This window comes from Homo sapiens, chromosome 4 (assembly GCF_000001405.40).
Source record: "Homo sapiens chromosome 4, GRCh38.p14 Primary Assembly".
NCBI classification, from domain to species: Eukaryota; Metazoa; Chordata; class Mammalia; order Primates; family Hominidae; genus Homo; species Homo sapiens.
The window spans coordinates 154,125,314-154,145,419 of record NC_000004.12 but is presented as its reverse complement, the minus strand read 5'-3'; the positions used below and the strand labels follow the sequence as shown (position 1 = coordinate 154,145,419).

The following is a 20,106-nucleotide window of genomic DNA, read 5'->3' as shown; positions in this document are numbered from 1 at the left end:
AAAGTAGGCGAGGGATATGAACAGACACTTCTCAAAAGAAGATATTTATGCAGCCAAAAGACACATGAAAAAATGCTCATCATCACTGGCCATCAGAGAAATGCAAATCAAAACCACAATGAGATACCATCTCACACCAGTTAGAATGGCGATCATTAAAAAGTCAGGAAACAACAGGTGCTGGAGAGGATGTGGAGAAACAGGAACACTTTTACACTGCTGGTGGGACTGTAAACTAGTTCAACTATTGTGGAAGTCAGTGTGGTGATTCCTCAGGGATCTAGAACTAGAAATACCATTTGACCCAGCAATCCCATTACTGGGTCTATACCCAAAGGATTATAAATCATGCTGCTATAAAGACACATGCACATGTATGTTTATTGTGGCACTATTCACAATAGCAAAGACTTGGAACCAATCCAAATGTCCACCAATGATAGACTGGATTAAGAAAATGTGGCATATATACAACATGGAATACTATGCAGCCATAAAAAAGGATGAGTTCATGTCCTTTGTAGGGACATGGATGAAGCTGGAAACCATCAATCTCAGCAAACTATCACAAGGACAAAAAACCAAACACCGCATGTTCTCACTCATAGGTGGGAATTGAACAATGAGAACACATGGACACAGGAAGGGGAACATCACACACTGGGGCCTGTTGTGGGGTTGGGGGAGTGGGGAGGGATAGCATCAGGAGATATACCTAATGTTAAATGACAAGTTAATGGGTGCAGCACACCAACATGGCACATATATATACATATGTAACAAACCTGCATGTTGTTGTGCACATGTACCCTAAAACTTAAAGTATAATAAAAAAAGAAAAATAGGAATAATAATATCTTCTCTTAAGTAGACCATATGAAAATTTGAACAAAAAAAATTTGTGAAATCACTAACACAATTCCTAGCACATAATACACAATTACTGATAGCATTTCTTTTTTACTCTAGACGATTTCTTTCTAGAATAGTATTCAATTTGGTTCACAGTACTAATACATTTACTGCTGACAGATATTATGAGAAACTTTGATTTTTGCTGAACTCATCTTACATCTGTCTAGGCAATAAGAGTGATGTGTGCCTGCTAAGTCTTGGTATTCTCATGGACAAGAAAGGTAGTATTTGCATGCCAAGCGTATTATATTTGGTTATCTCATTATTTCTCACAATAATCATGTGAGGCAGGAACCATGATTCTTTCGATTCTTTAGATGAGAACCTAAGGGTAAAATGTTTCCTAAGGTTACATAGGCAGTCAAGTGGTGGAAGGAGCATTCAAATATGTGAAATCTGAAGTTAGATAATAATCACCAACTTTTAGTATCTCTCAGGCTGTATGTTAATTTATTTAAATTACATGGTTGAAGGGGAAACAGCATTTAGAGGGTGGAGAATAGGGAGGAAGCATGTGCCTGGGGCTCACACTATGGAGAGAGAAGAGGGGGAGCTCAGTGAAGTTTGTGGTTTGCATTTATGCACCTGCAGGACAACAGAAACATCTGATTCAAGAACGCGGGTCTCCTGGCTGAGTTGGCAGCCATCGCGTCTGTATACACTGCATGCATTTGAGTCGCAGTCAAAGTCTGCTCATGATTATGTCTTCTGATCCCAGAGTGTGAAAACGAAATCCAGATTCTTGTAGCTAACATATTACACTCCAAGTTAGATATCCATTGTAACAAGGAGAAGACAGTGGGATTAAATATCTACTATGTCTATGGCAACAAACTGTTCTGCCATGAGGCTTTTGGCCAAAATCAGCAACTGATCTGGAGATCACTGTTGTGCAGAATTTGAACTTGATGGAGTGTGAGGTAGTCCTAGTACTTAGTGTTTAACTCACTTAATCCTCACACAAATTCTACATGATAGTACTATAACCAACTCTGCTTAGATGAGGAAACTGAGGCAGGCAGATCTGAAACATCCCTCACATTAGTCAACAATGGGTTTGGGCAGGATTGAAGCTGGGCAGTTTGATAGTACAGCCTGGTCTTCTAATCCCCACAGAACACTCATGCGTGGGGAGGAAAGTACCTGGTCCTTGGCCCTTTAAATTAATGAAATTATCATGACACTCACACACATATGAGCACACTCATGCACCTTCACACTTTACTTTTGCCTCAAGGATGTGGGTAGTTTTAGAATTTAAAAAAAAAAAAAAAGTGGTTCCCAGGACTAGGGGCAGGATATGAGGGGGAGTTATTATTTAATGGCATGGAGTTTCAGTTGGGGAAGATGAGAAATTTCTGGAGCTAGATGGCGGTGATGGTTGCACAACAATATAAGTGTACTTAAAGCCACTGAACTGTCACTCAAAAATTGTTAAAATGATCAATTCTATGTTGCGCATATTTATCACAATGACAAAAAGTAGGAGTTAAAGAAGAGAAGTTAAATGAGGTTTACCAGCCCAAAGTGTTGACTGTGCCAATGCTGAGAAACTCTGGGTTACAGGGTTAAACAGGTGAGTCTTATAGAGGTGACCAGATGAGTGGCAGTGTTCTGCTACACCGTGAGTTGATTTAACTGGTTTTATTTTTAGACCTTGAGTTTTGTTGTTTGCTATTTTATCTTTCCCAGAGAGAATATAAGATAGAGTTCTGTTAAGCTCCTGGGAAATTGAGCAGGTTCTAAAGGAAGAGTGTTTGTTTCTGTAGCACTTTGAATTTCCATGGCTTGTAATACAGTTTTCAATAAATAAGGATAGTAATTGTGGCCAGATACAGTGGCTTCTGGCTGAAGTGGCCTTGTCATCTCTCAGTGTTTTTTGCGAGAAGACCGATATATAGACAATATTATCTTTTCTAGATTATTCAGAATTACAGAATAAGCTTTAAGTGAGAACAGAATTTCAAATTTAGATGATAATTTTTGCCCACTAATCAATAAGGTGGAAAAAGAGGACAAAAACTTTGAAAATAACTAAAACCCAAAACTGAGGCATTCAGGCCTCTGTCCATAAGGATTCCATCTCTCAGTGAATCAAAACCTTACCCTTGAAGGTCAAAGTTTTCATACCAACCAAGATAAATAAAACTATTAATTTTTTTTCAAAACATCTGTTAGAAATATCACTCCACATACCTGCTGCTTTTAAAAAATCCAGTCTTAAAAATGGAAAATAAAATTTAATACTGTGTTATTACTTACAGTTGTAATTGGCAGAGTTTCTAGCTGCCTTCTGAATTTTCAAGCACCACCCAGACTTGTTTTTCTTTCAAAAAGGATTTTTCCCTTAAGGTGTTATGAAGATCTCCAAGTAGAATTGCACGCAGTCCTGTGAAGGATAGATGTTATTTTTTTCACCTCCAGTTTGATTTTTTTAATGCTAACTTTGTAATTTGCCACAAAGAAAAGGTTCTGTATATAATATTGGTATTCTGTTATAGGATTTACACCACACATATTTGTATGGGCCTGTGCCTGGGAATCTTACCTAAATCCTTTATCCCTGCAGTTCCCACTGAGGACTTTATCTTTAGATCCAAAGTGCTAGAAAATCTTCTGTGATATTTAAACTTTTAGTCTGTAAAGCTGCTAATGTTGATAATAATGCAGATATATAAGAAAAAGCCAAGCAGAGTTTTAAAAATATTTTTGAGAGACCCAAACTATTTCTAGAAGTCTCAGCGGACTTTCATTAATCCATTCAACAAATATATGATGAGCACCATTTGTTTGCCAGACACTGTTTTGGACAACAGAAAAAACAGAAGTGAACAAGACAAGATTCAGCTCCGCCCTTGTGAAATGATTTTTTTGCAATGGAGTCAGACCTTATACCACCAGTTTGAACAATAACTCATTAAACTTTGAATGAGTTCTCCTTATTAAGTACTTCAAAGAGAAGTATGAAAGTTTATCTGGAAGATTAAACTTGGAGAAATGGATGTTTGAGCTTAGTGCCACCCATGGCCCCAGGCAAGAGTCACCACAACCAGCACTTCAAAGAAGCCCACACCTCCATTCTAGACCAGGCTCGGGGTGCCCTGTACCTCTGAATTACTGAAAGCACCTCAAGCCTCTTCCCTGGGTCTATCATGCCAGTGGGAACTAAGACAAATAGGTACACCCCAAGGCTTCAGGGTGATGACCAAGAGAGTTTGCTTGCAATGTGTGTATGTGTGGATTTTGACGTACACACTGGGATATTCACAAGCTCTTCCTTTCATGATGAGAGGAGCCAAGGATGGGGAAAGTAGAAAGATGAGGCTTCGGCCACAAGTCAGGAGTCCCTGTTCTTACACCACAGCACTCCCATGTGAAACTGCATGGAATCTGAGAAGTCTAAATTCTGTCTATAGCATGTGTTTCCATTTGCATTCTTGCTTCCAGCCCTAAAAATGTTAGGGGTGGGGCCATCTGATCTGGGCTTTGCAAGACAAGTTGAAACTAAGCAAGAAGAAAGCCTCTACACAGGAGGCCCACACGTGTCAGGGCTCTGAGGTAGAGAGAAAATGATGTGTCTGAGGAACTGAGAGGCACACAGAGAGGCTTGACTAAAGAGCAGTACAGGGCCAGAAGAAAAGCCTCCCCTGCAGGACAGCCTTAGGAAGCAGCATATTTTATGCCCATAAATGAAGGTCTCCATAGCATATTTTTGAGTAGGTGTGAAAAATTATAAAAAGATTTGCATTGCTATGCTGTAATTTCAACATAATATGTACAAAAAATTGAGACAGATGTTTTTAAAATACTTTTCTTTCAAATTCTGAATGATCAGCATCCCGTTATCACAGTTCTTTTGGACAAATACCATAAATAGGATGGCTTATAAACAACAGAAATTTATTCACAGTTTTGGAAGCTTAGAAGTCCAAGATTAAGATGCCAGCATACTCAGTGTCTAGTGAGGACTCACTTCCTGGTTCGCAGATGGCACCTTGTCACTGTGTCCTTGTGGTGGAAGACACAAACACTTCCTGCTTCTTTTATAAGGACACTCATTCCATTTAGGGCGGGTCTCCTCCCATGACCCAATCATGTCCCAAAAAGGCCCCATCTCTTAATATCATCAATTTGTGGATGAGGATTTCAACACATGAATTTTGGGGAACACGCATGCAGACCATAGCACCCATTATCTTCGTATTCCTATGAAATGTGAACAGTCATTTCCCATGTCCCCCGAGTCTCAGGCCTAGGATGTGGGGTCTGTTCCCCTCCACTACTCCAGCTGTTTTTACATTGAACAAATATTCATAATATTCATTCATCTCTTTACTCATTTAATTCAGCCATAGTTTATTAAGCTGCAATATAGGAATGATAATATATTAATAGAGAGGTGGGAAGGATGAAATAAATTTTTATATGTGTATGTGTATATATATTTATATATAAATTTCTACATAAATATTTAATGTTTAATATTTTAATTTATCAATATTTTAATACTTAATATTTATAAAGATATATAAATAAATTTATAATGTATATAGTATAATTTTTATATAATATTGTTTTATATTATATATTTTAAAATTGTATATAATTACATATATTAACATATACATTTATACATAATATATGTGAACATATAAATTATATTATATAAATTCTCATATGTAAATTATATATAATATATATTTTATATAATATAATTATATATTATACATTTATATGGAAATTATGTATGATTTATAGGTTATTTATATAATTTTATATAAATTATAAGTTTATATATAAGCAAATTTATTTTTATATAAATATACATATTTACACACACACATATATATTGCTTAGAACAGCACTAGGAAACCACTAGGCACACAATAGGATGATATGCACCAATTAGCAGGAAAATTCTTAAGAACAAGAATTACTTGTTCTTAAGACCAGAAAGGAAAAGACAGCTACACTACTTGACCAAAGGGATGAAGGCATGGAGTAGAATGCTGTGTTAGGGAAGAATGAGCCATCAGTGTGACAAAGAATGGCTGGGTCTAGTGTTGGGAGATGGGCCTGATAGGAATGAGATTAAGGAGGGACTTGGATCCCATGCTAAGGAGTTGGGCTTTTATTCAGCAGGGCAGTGTTTCTCAAAGTGTGGCCCTCGGACATTAGAATCCCCTGTGTGGCTTCTTAAAAATGAGGACCCCTGCCTCCTATTCTCCACCCCAATAATGAGTTGGAATGTAAGGCCTGGGACATTTTAACAGGCTTTCCAGGTGATTCTTGTTTATAGTCATGGTTGAGATACTGAGATACCATGAAGAGTCAAAGTATGTTTTCTAAACATATAGTTTGTACAATAAGCTTTGTCTTAGACAAGTGGCTGGCTATACCCATACATACTATGGGCAGTAGCAAGAAAGCTCCTCTTCCAGAAGAAAAACATGTATTTGTTACAGAAGTGTGAGTTTCCCTTTAAGAAAATAAATTCGTGTAAGATGCTTGTTGCCAGATATGTTAAGCCAAAGGGGAAAAAAATCTCAAAGCAAATACACTTTTTGCTAGCAAAATATGTTCCCTCATTGTTCCCTAAGATTCTGACATTTGAGGGAAAAAAGATACTAAATTCTCCTAGAAATAATAAGACTTGTTGGTTTTTCTCTATTATGCAATACAGACCTCTAACCTAAATTAACCTCAAGGTTAATTTACACTTTAGGTAATAGAAATTACAAAACAATGGCTGGAATGAAAAATGATAATGTTTCACATTTCTATGAGTTAATTTCAATGAAAATGCAACATTATCAAACCTTCTTTAAGAGATGCATCATCCTAAAATGTTATATATTGCTCAATACAAGCTCCTGTGTTTAATATTTTTACAGTTTTACGATTTCCTTCCCCATGAGCTTGACTATTTAATAAAGAATTAAAGACATTTTGCTAAAACCTAAACATATCACAAAGTTCTTTGTTAATTATTACCCTTTGTAAGATGGATCATCACCTTTCATAATATGGAATATGTATAAAAACATACATTTTCAAAGTGTGTTTAACAATATGGGACTTTTACAAATTATAAGAATTTAATATATTTGTATTAATGATATATTTATGATCTTTAGCTTATAAAAAATAGATCCCCAAGTGTAGATTAAAGATTAGAAGAACATAAAATAGTAGTTAACCCTGTGATCCTAGGGATGGTGATATTATGGATTTTTACCTCCTGCTTTGTGCTTTTCTGTAATTTGAAAACTTCTAAAATAAAGTTACCTTAGTTTTATAACTTTAAAAAGGCCCCAAATGTGCATAACGTGGCGGGGAGCAAGATGCAAGGAGCAGAGATGAGACGGAGCAGTGGCGTGGTGAATAGCTTGTGCGGGGAGAAAGATGAGAGCTCCCCCAGCCAACTGCAGAAACCCCTTCTCCCTCTTTGTGCTCCTGTATCTTCGTTGAGAGGGCCCATCCTCCACTAAACAGGGAGTTCCCTGAGGTCAGCAACTGCTTAGAAACTGGTACCTTTAAGATAACACCGAATCTGGCCTAGAGATGTTCCATAGCGGCTTGCTGTAACTGGTCTCCAGTTCTTCAGAAGCTTCCTCTGACATCCCATCTGGCTGAGTCAAGATTTCTGGGACTCTGGATCCTGCTGTTTAAAGATGGCTACCTCACTTTGTGAGCTGATTGCCAGCCCCCGCAGGGTGAAGAGAAATGATCTCATGTTCCACTCCAGAGAGCTATAGACAGGGCTAGCTAACCAGGTGTTAGGATCCAAGGAGAGGGCTCCCTGCTCTGAAATATCCACATGGGTTCCTGGCATTTTACCATCATAACTTCATTCCTTTGGGGGTTGAATTCTTGTAACAATCCCTATTAAAATGCAAATGCCTCTGGGAGGCGTTAAGCCCTTGTCAGCAAACACCTTGCTTATTAGCTAACACCTGAGCCAACAGCCATCTGAGAGCACGTGCCTATTGGGAAATCAGTTCCTAGAGAGGTGGGGAAATAGAGGGGGCAGCTGGAGGACAGCTGAAGGACCTTAGGGTGATGAAGCTCAAACTGTCAGATTTCCAGGACTGGATCTGGCACTAGGAGTGGGTTAGGAATGTCAGTTGTCAGTGAGCACTCCAAACAGGTGGTGGAGAGGGTTGAAGGGGTCTATCTTTCTTGGGCCTGGTGGTCAAGGTACAGGCCCAGGTGGGGCATATGGCAGGTGGGTGTGCTCCTGGCCTGAGTGCCCTCAGCCTTCCAGGTAGTTTTGATACAGACAGGAAACAGGAAAATACTGGGTAGAAGAGGCCAGTTCCCCAGCAAAGGCCCTACCTTCAAGCCTGAAGACCCATGGTCTTAAATGAGGACAGGCATTCCTGTTTTCACGCCCAAAAAGTTGCCTTTTGGCCTGCCACACCCCCTATGCTGCACCCATATACATCCCGAACCCCAGGCTCCAGAAGCCGACCATCAAGCCAGCAGACCAGCAGAGGGATGGTGGAACAACACAACAGAGAAAGACAGAAGAGGAGGATCGTCTGAATGCCGAGAGGAGTCTGGCTGGGTTGGTTAGAGAGGAGTCCAGCCACTGGGTGGCCTGACTCCAGGGGAAGATTACCATCCCACTCCAACCCCCGCTTTCGGTTCCCCATCCATTCCACTGAAAGCCACCTCCACCACTCAATAAAACCTCACATTCACCCTTCAAGCCTGAGTGTGACCCAATTTTTCCAGGATGCTGGGCAAGAGCTCAGGATACAGAAAGCTGTCACACTGGTCTTCTGCCTTTGCAAAAAAGCAGAGGGTCCATTGAGCTGGCTAACACTCAAGCCATCTGTAGATAGCAAAGCTGAAAGAGCTTTGTAACTCTGGGGTTGCAAGCACCCACCCCTAGACACTACCACGGGGCCAGAGCCCAAAGCACTCCCCCTGCCTCTGCACCTGCCTGTCTGCATGCTCCCCCTCCAGCTAGGGGTTTGATAGGCAAGTGAGCCTGTCCTATAGGCAGGTGAGCACGTCCTGCAAGGGGGATCAGGGAACTCTCCTATTTCAGTTTTACTTTCTTGTCAAGTCCCATACATAAATACAGGATTTCAAAATGTATTGAGAGAGGGTTTTTTCATATTTTTATTCTTTTTAAATAAGATTGTGGCTTTTTGAGTCATACGCATTAAGTTTCAGTGTTTGGTTAGTGCTGCACCTCAGCGTTCAAATTAATAATATGTCAGCTGTTTACTCCTTTGCCTTCCATCAATCAAATAACACACGTTTACCTCCTGTCATTTCTTTTCAAACACCGAAACCTGCATTTCCTAAGTATTTTTTAAACTGTTCCCTGAAAGCCTTCCTGTTGGTCTGTGTCTTTGTGGAAATCCCACGAATATAGAGAAAGACGCTGAATTTTCCTACTTTCATATTATTCGTCACCACAGGAGAGCTAAATGGCACTCTGGATTAAGATTGCATGAATAGTTTTCAAATATTTGGGGTTCAAAAAACCCAAAATGTGTTTTGCCAAAACATTTGCTTTCCTCGTTTTTTTAAGCCTATGTTTATTTCAAGGAGCATTAATTCCATGTGTTTTTAATGCATTTACACTCAGTTCATTAAAATGCTACTCTCTAACATGTTTTTGGCGTCCGAGAGCCCCAGCAGGCCCTTCTACTTTGAGCGGGTTGGTGTGCTGGGCGCCCGAGCGCAGAAGCGGGAATGGTTCACGCTCAGCCCTTCCCGGACCCCACTAGGTCCAGGCCCTGCCGGGTCTGGCACGGCGCACTGCCACCCCAGGCCCTGGCGCCAGGGTGCCGTCAGACTCTGCTGGGCACAGGGACCAATTATTAATAGTAGTCAGGAAGGTCCTTGCCATTTTAGCGCTTGGGTCAGAACTGAGTGTTTCGAAATTCCAGCCCTGCCTCCGTGAATCTTGGTAACCCTGAGGACTTGAGAGCCAAGCCCCCTGCAGCCCACATGACCCTATTAAATATCAATATTGAGACCAAGGGGGTGATTAGGAGCGGAGAATACCTCCATTGTCTCTGTTTCGGTAGCAGTGGGGAATGAATCCAACCTTGAGAAAAGTGAATGCAGAACTGGAATCTGAAATTGCTTAGTAAGTAGCAGACGGTACCCTTGATCCGTCCTTTCGCCATTTTCTTCGGGATGCATTGGCCTATCCCAAATGGGATGGTATTTCTGAAAGGCGTGGAGTACAGATAGGACTGTAGGAAGAAGGATGACTGGTGCTGCTGGACTAGCTCAGGGTAGACTCTTTCCAAAATTAAACATCTCCATGCGTGTTTCTGGTGGTTTTCCACATGTCAACCACTGGACTAAATTCCCTACATATTCTCCGCACTTTGCAATTGAGCAAAATGAGGTGCAGAAGAAAGGGACTTGCCTCAGGTCCTCAGCAGCACCACAGTCATGGTGGCTTTGCTTTGACGCTCTCACACCTGCTACATTGCTGTCTCCCAGGAGAGTCCAGGCCAGATGCTGCTCCTACCTTCACATGAAAGAGCTGCGTCGCTCCCCTTTAGCAAAGAGCATTCCTGGAGGAAAGGCAGTTACTTTGCTAGGGCTTGGGAGGTGCACAGTGCTAGGAAGGGAATTTTCAAGCGTTCTTCCATCATAGCATTAGAAGGGACTCGACACCATTTTGTCTATCTACCCTCAACTCCTTCTCCATTCCAAGAAGAATAATGTGCTCCAGTTTCTTGTGTCCCCTCTTGAAGTGTGGGCCACAGAATGGAACACAACACTCTAAATGTGGTCTAGCCAGCACTGAAGGGTAAGACTGCCTGTTCTACTTTCAACACTCTCAGTCTACTAACAAAGCCGCAGTTTTGACTGTTTTTCAAACCCACTCATTATGTGGTTACGTCATTGTGCTGTAGCCTCATATTGAATTGCCAGTTAACAAACACACTTACTTTTGTATTATTTATTTGCTTATTTACTTCTTTTCTCATTTCCTCCATGCATCCACCTCAGTTAGGGTCGAAATGCTCCTTAGCTATGTGTGCTGAGTTTCTGGTGGTCTCATCTCCACTGGGTCTGGGCACCCGTTGCTTTTAAAGTTCTTTCCCTTTTGTGGAGAATACGGACTTGGGCAGGAGAAGAGTGGTGCTGTTTTAGAGGTCTCTTTACACCTCTATTGTCCTTGTTACGAGCGCCATAATTTCTTGTTTTCAATCAACGCTTTTAAAAATGTCTCTTTTTAAATTTCTCTGGTATTTTTAGAAAACTTCAGCCCACTCTGATGCTGTGCTTAGCTGGCGTTATTATCAGAGAACATGCCAGGATTTTATAGCCACAATTTTGGGACCCTCCTTCCACCTTTTAGGCTAAGTCCTTTCCCAGTTTCTCAAAGAGCACCCTGGGAAAACCTGCTGCTTTCTCGAGTCTTTTTCTCTTTTTTCACTCTTCAAGTTTAAAGGTCAGAATTTTGCCTGTCAGAACTTTCCATACCTCTTGGGCATCTACCCTTTTGAGTCTCTGGCTATGGAATTATCCAACTTTTTACTGACTTTTTTGAAACTACTTTCCCAAACTCCAAGTTAAGTCTGATGCCTAACACATCCATTTCTGGGCAGAATCATTCAGTGATAACCTTTTCACACTTTTCTACAGTTCCCATTATTTCCAGATACCACCCGAATCTATGTTATGATTCAGATTTAAAACCAAGTAGCAATTTCAATTATTGCTTTCTCTCTGTGGTGAGAAAAATAACAAACTTAACAAAGGCTGCGCATTGAGCAAAATGAGCCTTTAAGTAGATGTCCAAATCGATGAAGCTCTTTGTCTCTACTGTGAGGTGCTTCAGTGATGGTGTTACAATTTACAGAGGAATGTCTTACCCATTTTCTAGAGATTGGCTGGGCTGCCTGAATTTACTCCCTCAGTAAGGTTTTTCCTATTTGCTTTTTTAAAAAAATTGTCTTCCAAGTATTCTCCAAAATTATTCCATGTAAAATCTCACAGAATCACTGACCTCCAGTAGTGGCCCAGAGTTTGAAGTAGGGGATCTTGGTGCATAACCACCCTTGCCTCTTCTTTACATTGGATGTAGCAATATTTACCTCACATAGGATGCTGGGAGCATTAAGCAAAGCAATGGTAATGGCTAGGCAAGGGGCCATGCAAACTAGAAAAAGAGTAGCACAAATGTTTGCAGTGATTTTTACTGAGTTATTATTACTCTGCCTCTTCAGTGAAACATGTCCATGGAATGAGACACACCTCATCTTTACAACATTCCAAAGCTGAGTCTTATTCTATTTCTTATAATAAGACTTAGAATAAAACTTTCTTATTCTTATTCTTATTTACTATTTGTAAAACTCCATTTACCATCCTGTATTAGATTATCAAGTTTTCATTGTCGATTAGACCTAATCAATACATTAGATAATAAATAAAGAAAAAAAGTTTTTAAGACAGGAAGCCTCTTTTATTTTGGAGCACCAAGCACTAGGCACATACCGCAATCAGGCTTTCAGTGTTTAGGGAATATAACTTTTTCCTCTTCACTCTGTAGTGATCTGGTCTTTGCCTACACACAATGAAGCTCTGCATAAGAAAGGGAACTAACCATATGTGATTGGCCACCTATAGGTCGAAAAAATAATCATACATTCATTTTAATATCAACCAAACAAGGAGAAATAGGAAGAGAAAATTATTATGTAGCACACAACTTAGATTTCCATACTTAAAATCCTATTTATTCTTAAATATGTTTATTAAGATATAACTCACATATCAAGGAATTCACCTGTTTAAACTGGACATTTCGATGGTTTTAGCATCTTCACAGATATGTGTGACCATTACCACAATCTAAGTTTAGAATGTTTTCATCACCCCAAAGGAAATGCCACAGCCATCACACTAGCAGTCCCCCCTTATTCCCCCCAACTCTCTCCTCCACAGCCTGAGTCACCACTAATCTACTTCCTCTAGATACAGATTTGTGTATTTCAAACATTTCATATTATTGGAATCATGAAATATGTGAGGGTTTTGCAGCTGGCTTCTGGCCTTTTTCACTTTTCAAGTTTCACCTATGTCATACCATGTGTCAAAACTTCATTTCATTTCAGGACAATATCTCATTGTACAGATATAGCACATTTTATTTTATTTATGCATTTATCAATTTAAGGTGGTCCCCAATGTTTGGTTATTATTCATAATAATTATTATTGGATATTATTATTCATAATAACCAAACATTGTTACGAACATTCATATATGATGCTATGAATTTTCATGTACAAGTCTTTTGGGGTTGGATGTTTTCATTTCTCTTAGATAGAAACCTAGGAGTAAAGTTGCTCAGTCACATGATAATTCTCCATTGCCAAGCTGTTTCCAAAATGGCTGCACCATTTTACATTCCCTCCAACAAATTTATGAGGGTTCCAATTTCTCTGCATCTTGTGAATATTTGTTCTTGTCTGTCTTTTCTATAACAGTCAACCTAGTGTATGTCAAGTAGTGTCTCATTATGGTTTTAATTTCAATTTCTCTAATTATTAATAATAATGGGTATTTTTATGTGCTTATTGGCTGAATATCTTCTTTGGAGAAATGTTTATGCAAATCCTTTGCCCACTTTTTAATTGGGCTTTCTTTTTATTATTCAGTTTTAAAATTTCTTTATATATTCCAGATACAGGTCCCTTATCAGATACATAATTTGCAATCCTTTTTCATTCTGTATATTGTATTTTCACTTTCTCGATTTTATCACTTTATTACAAAATTTGCTTAATTATGATGTAATTCAACTCAGCTGTTTCTCCTTTGGTTGCTTTCAATTTTGGTGCCAAATCTTAGAAATCACTGCTTAATCCAAGATTATCAAAATTCACTACTGCTTTTTTCTAAGAGTTTTACACTTTTAGCTCTTAAGTGTTTATCTTTTATCCATTTGATTTAATTTCACAATATAAAGTTAATCCAGTTTCATTCTTTTGCATATGGATATATAGTTGTCCCAATGTCATTTGTCGAAAAGACTATTACTATATGTTGAATTGTCTTAGCATCCTGTTGAACATCAATCAACCATAAATGTAAGTGTTTTGTTTCTAGACTCTCAATTCTATTGCATTGATATTTATATCTATCTTTATGCCAGCACTATGTCTTGATTACTGTAGCTTTGTAGCAAATGTTGAAGGTCAGAAGTGTGAGTCCCGCAATGTTGTCTTCTTCACAATTGTTTTGGCTCTTCTTGGTTTCTTACATTTCCATATGAATTTTATGATCAGCTTTTCTATTTCTCCAAAAAAAAAGCTATTTGGATTTTTATAGGGAACACATTGAATCTGTAGATTAATTTGGGAAGCATTGCTATCTTAACAATATTAAGTCTTCTAATCCATGAACATGAGGTATCTATGTATTCAGATGCTGAATTTCTTTCAACAGTGTCTTGTAAGTTTTTCATGTACAAGTCTTGAACTTCTTTTGATAAATTTACTCCTGGGTATAGTATTCATTTTGATGCTATTTTAAATTGAATTGTTTTCTCAATTTCCTTTTCAAATTACTCATTGCCAGTGTGTAGAAAAACAGTTAATTTTATTGCTCATCTTGTATCCTGCAACTTGGCTGACCTGATTGATTAGTTTGAAGAGTTATTTCATGAATTCTTAACATTTACCATATACAAGATCATATCATCTGTGAATAAAAATAGTTTTAGGCTGGGCGCAGTGTCTCATGCCTGCAATCCCAGCACTTTGGGAGGTCGAGGCAGGCAGATCATGAGGTCAGGAGATTGAAACCATTGTGGCTAATGCGGGGAAACCCTGTCGCTACTAAAAATACAAAACTTAGCCAGGTGTGGTGGCGGGCACCTGTAATTCCAGCTACTCGGGAGGCTGAGGCAGGAGGATCACTTGAACCCGGGAGGCGGAGATTGCAGTGAGCTGAGATTATGCCATTGCACTCCAGCCTGGGCAACAAGAGTGAAACTCCATCTCAAAAAAAAAAAAAGAAAAAGAAAGAAACAGTTTTATTTCTTCCTTTCCAATCTGATGTTTTTTATTTATTTTTCTTGTCCAGATGACCTAGCTAAGGCATCTGATATAATGTTGAATGGAATTGGTGAAAGCAGATGTTCTTGTCTTGCTCCTGATCTTAGCGAGGAAGCATCTAGCCTCTCACATTAAGTATGATGTCATATCTAATTTTTGAGACATACTCAAAAGCAAAGAAAAGGAAGGTCATCTTATTCCAGGAATTGTAGCTCTCCACTTAGATGTTTTGAGAACTCTCCTAGCTGAAGTCAGACCCCTTAATATTGTTTTATTGAACAATAATTGTAGTACTTTAAAGGCAAAGGTCCCATAAGACTGACATACATGACATAAATTTAAGCAACTCTTATTAATTTGTATTAAGTTAGCCTAAAGAATAACCTGTGTTCCTTCTAGACTTGTATAATTCAGGAGTCTGAGAGATTCCAGTGTCATAAAAATTGAAGGTAAAAGAGCAACACTCTTGCCTTTGCTTTTCATTTAAAGAAGAAAGCACATACTTAACTTTCACCAGAATGGAGAAAGCAAAAAAACTTTCTTGTTTTCAAACATAGCACTAAACACTGAATGAACATTCTCTCTGCCATATGATCATAAACCCATTTACACAGCAATTCTCTTTCTGCAGTTACAGAGGGAGTCAGATATCCTCAGCTACTTCAAGTTCATTCTTTGGTTATGCACTGAAGTTCAAGGAGTCTCTTGTCCATCCAAATTGGGGTTAATACCAGACCATCCAGTCTAATTTGCTTTCCTATTCAACTGCAAAGAAAATCTCCTGGTCAAAAGAAAATGCAATGTGGATTTCAGTCTTGCCTAGAAGTCTTTCCATTTTGCTTTACTAAGGCTTGTTCATGTTTAGTACTACATTAAGCAACTAATTAGATCAGAAATAAAAATAATCTGACTCTGGCCACCTATTTCCACCTTAAACCCTTTCCTTTCCAATTAAATATAACAAACATCTTTTGTGAGATTCTCAAGCCAATTTCCCTCCAAACGTTTTGATTTTTGTTTTTGTTTGCCTCCTCCCATCTTCCTCTATACCCCCCAGGAAAGAAAGAAACTTCAAATCACAGTCTAGAGCATGAAACTGATGCATGCATGGAAACCCCCAGAAGGAATTTGAGTGGAAGTACTCCAGGGTCCTTCCCCACAAGGCCAGATCTAGCAAATGTTTTCCAGATGTGGCTGCTCTTAACTCTACTACCACCAACTCAGCCCCTCTCCCACCTGCCCTCAGACCAGAAAGCAGTATCAAGACCTGCAGTCCAGCCCTCATCACCCCACAAGGGATTCCTAGAGGAGGTTATACTTAGCCTCTATTCCCTCCCTGCCATGTAGAAAAGCTCCCACAAAGCCCATGACACAGGTCATGAACTCTTGGTCTTGTTCTGATCACAGACCCTCACTTTGTGGTCTCTGTGGTCCAGCAGCATCAGTGGCATCTGGGCAGTTGTTAGAAATGCAGACCCTCCAGCCTGGGTGACAGAGTGAGACTTCCTCTCAAAAAAAAAAAAAGAAAGAAATGTAGAATCTCTGCCCCAGCCCAGACTTACTGATCAGAATTTGTATTTTTATTTAACAAGATCACCTGGTGATTCCCATGTACCTTAACGTCTGAGAAGGCCTACTCTGGAGCACTGGTTTCCAAACTTCAGTGTGCACCAGAATCCTCTGGTGGGCTTGTAGAAACACAGATTTCTGGGCCCTTCCTCCAGGGTTTCTCATTCAGAAGTCTGGGGTGGAGCTTGAGAATTTGCTTTTATAAGAAGTTCCCAAGTGAGGCTGATTTTGCTATCTGAAGTCTGAGGACTACACTTGGAGAGACACTGCTCTAGGGGCATCCCATCTCACCAAAGAGTAGGAGTGTTGAGAATTCTTGGAATCTAAAATATTGATTTATTTGCAAATTAATAGAAATATTCCATAACGTGATTGCAGCTGCCTCCTTTGTTTTCACTTTGCCACATTCTTCTGTTACTTGTTGGAAGACTGTTGGTCTTGTTTCCCTCTAACATCTCCCAACTCACATCACCCCACCATCCTGACCTGCCCTCCCTGGCCCCATGCTGGAACACTTCAGGAATCTGCAAAGCTCTGTCCAAACTGGCATTGCTGAGAAAGACTTTTCATCTCCTACCCCAGGCTGCCTCCCAGCGAGCCAGCCCTAGGACTGCCTGCTGCCACCCCTGCCTTGATCCGTCCAAGCCATTTCCCTCCATGCACAGCCATTTACAACACTCCTGAAGAGGAGGCCAGCTCAGTCCCTGCCTTTGTGTGCCTCTAAACTTCACACAGCTCCTTCCCCTTTTCTTGTGTAGCATAATCAGTTGTACTGTTTTTAAGAGATTTCAATCTCTGCCCCTGAATGAATTTTAACACAACTTTGGCAACTTACGGATTTGCCAGGAAGAACCTAGAGCAAGAGTTGAACATTGCTGGGATGCTGACTGATGCAGTTCAAAACTCTAGGATATAGCAATGAGCAATGCAGACAAATCTTGACCTTGCAGCATGTACACTCTGGTAAGAGGAGAAACAGCAACCTATTAACACATGCATGCATTTTATGTGGAAAGAACAAAGCAAGGGAATGACCAGGGAAGAAGGTTCTATGTGAACCCACATCATAAGGGAAGACCTGTCTGAGGGGTAATGTCTTAAAAGACATCTGAGTGAAGATCTAAAAGAAGAACTTTCCAAACAAGAAAGCAAGTGCAAAGGACCCAAGATGGCAGTGAACGTGACCTTTTAGAGAAGCAGCAAGGCCAGTGTGGCTGGAGTGGAGGTGATATGGACAGGGAAATACTAGGTAGAAGAGGGCAGTTCCCCAGCAAAGCCCCCATCCCCAAGCCTAGAAACCTGTGGCCCTAAATGGGAATAGGTATTCCTGTTTTTGAGCCCAAATGTTGCCTTTTGGCACAGCACAACCCCCTATTCTGTACCCATATAAACCTCAAACCCCAGGCTCCATAAGCAGATGAGCAGACGAACATAAGAGCAGAGGAACAGGAGAGTGGCACTGCAAAGAAGGAGAGAAGAGAAGGAGCATCTGAACGTTGAGAAGAGTTCAGCTGGGGATGGTTGGAGAGGACATCAGCCATGGGACAGCCAAACTCCAGGGGAAGATCATCTTTCCACCCCATCCCCTTTCTAGCTCCCCACCCATCCTGCTGAGAGCCACCTCCATCTGGCAATAAAATCCCCACATTCACAATCTTTCGAGTCTGTGTGTGACCTGATTCTTTCTGGACACTAAACAAAAACCCAAGTACCAACCAGGCAATGAGCTGGTTAACACTTAAGTTGTCTGCAGACGGCAGAGTTGAAAGAGCACTGTAGTACACCCACTCAGGCTTCAAGAGTCACAGGCACCAACCTGTAGACACTACCATGAGGCCAGAGCCCAAAAGCACTCGCCCTGGCTCCTGCTCCTGCCTGTCTGTGTGTTCCCCTTCCTGTAAGGGGTTCAGCACACAGTGCAGCAGCCACCCAAACAGACAAGCCACACCCCTGTCACACATCCTGCGAGGGGGTCAGGGAACTCTCCCATTTCAGAGGGGTGTGAAGATAGTGGTAGGAAGGCAAGTGGAGAGATGGACAGAGGCCAGGCAGTTTGAAGGGTTTGAATTTTATCTCAAGTATGTTGGTAAGACAGAGGGTTTCGAGTTGCAGTTTTACATAATCTGATTTCAAATTGTACAAGGTCACTCTGGCTTCTGTGTTAATTAAAATAATGACCTGCAGAGTAGAAATAGTTGGAAGGCTGAGGTGGGAGAATCACTTGAGCCTGGGAGGTCAAGGTTGTAGTTAGTTTGCCAGTGCACTCCAGCCTGGGTAGCAGAGTGAGACCCTGTTACTAAAAAGAGAGTGGAAGCAGAGAGACAGACAGTGTTCTAGACAAGACAGGGTGGCTGTTTGGCCAAGGGTAACAACAGTGAAGGAGGTGATTCATGGGTGAATTGAGGGATCCTTTGAATGCCGAGCTGACTAGACTTCCTGATGAATTGGATGTGAGAAAGAAAGAAGGCAGGGATGATCTGATGACCTGAGTGAAGGTTGGTATCATTTTCTGAGATGGAGCAGGAGCACAGCTGGAGGAGAAATTGAGTCAAAGAGTAAATTCTTTAGCTGAATGGACTCATGCAAATTAATTAACCCACCATCCATGTCAGATCCTGCTGCTCAAAGCTTAGGTTTAAACTGGGGCCCCTGCTATAAACAGAAGGCAAAATAGATGGAGTGGAGCTGAACAGAGTGGGGATGGGGAATGCTCATTGAAGAGTACCCCAAAAGCTCTTAATGAGCCCCCTGAGATTTGTCAGCCAACATGGAGGCTTTGCTCACCAATGAAGGAGACAGGATCTAGAAAGCCCCATGCTAAGAGTAAGTAAGAGACACAACATGGCCCATTAGGGTTGAGACCTGGCAAACCCCAGACATGCCCATTCAGAACAGATAGCCCCACCGCCACCCCTGGGCTGGGGTCCAGGGACACAGGGACATGGGAGACCAGGGCCTTTCCTGCCAGAGTCACCTCACATAGAACGTACGACAGCAGGTGCTCTGTGTGATCTGTCTAGACAGAGCCGTTCCAAAACCTTAGAAAAGAAAACAGAAACAAGCCTGAGCCTTCACCTTGGGGAACTTCCTGGAAATGCAGGGCAGGCATGTTTGCTAGAGTAATTTCCCCTACAGCACTGGAATCCTTGCACTGAGGGAATGGATTTCTTCCTGATGGGCTCTTTCTCTCTAATTTTCCTCGATGTATATCTTTTGCATAGGCAGCTTTTATTCTTGCCTGTCTCTGAGATCTTTTCTTACATATACCTTAGCGTGCCTATGGGACTCTCTTTGGAGGAGGACATGGTGTCTCTACCAAACCTTACCATTGCCTCTATTGCACTTCCTCTTTTTTGTCCCTCCTAAGGCTCCTCCTTGGCCCTTCTCAATCCCAGCCCCCATGTAGTCAGTCTCATTTATTCTCCTAGTAATTGTCCTCATCACTAGCCTTTCCTCCTCACAGAGTGGTCTTCATCAAAATGTAAAGAAGACCGTGTTCCTCCTCCTAGGGCACATTTTTCAAATGCACAGTTTTTTTCAAATGCACAAAACCAACCAATCCACA

The 20,106-nt window shown here is 40.7% G+C and overlaps 1 long non-coding RNA gene across 2 annotated transcripts in view, besides 1 other annotated feature; it reads right to left on the bottom strand.

The window, feature by feature from the left end:
• The window catches only part of LOC101927947 (uncharacterized), a 469,997-nt gene that overhangs the window by 153,400 nt on the left and 296,491 nt on the right, over nt 1-20,106 (bottom strand). For both annotated transcript variants that reach the window (XR_007058336.1, XR_007058335.1), the window contains one exon: nt 3,178-3,304. This is a non-coding gene — a long non-coding RNA (uncharacterized LOC101927947). The remainder of the gene's footprint in view (nt 1-3,177; nt 3,305-20,106) is intronic.
• Nucleotides 7,529-7,823: an enhancer, noted in NCBI's record as "tiled region #8445; K562 Activating non-DNase unmatched - State 24:Quies". NCBI's record gives its function as "weakly activates a minimal TATA promoter and a strong SV40 promoter by Sharpr-MPRA in K562 cells {active_cell/tissue: K562}" and the evidence as "EXISTENCE:reporter gene assay evidence [ECO:0000049][PMID:27701403]".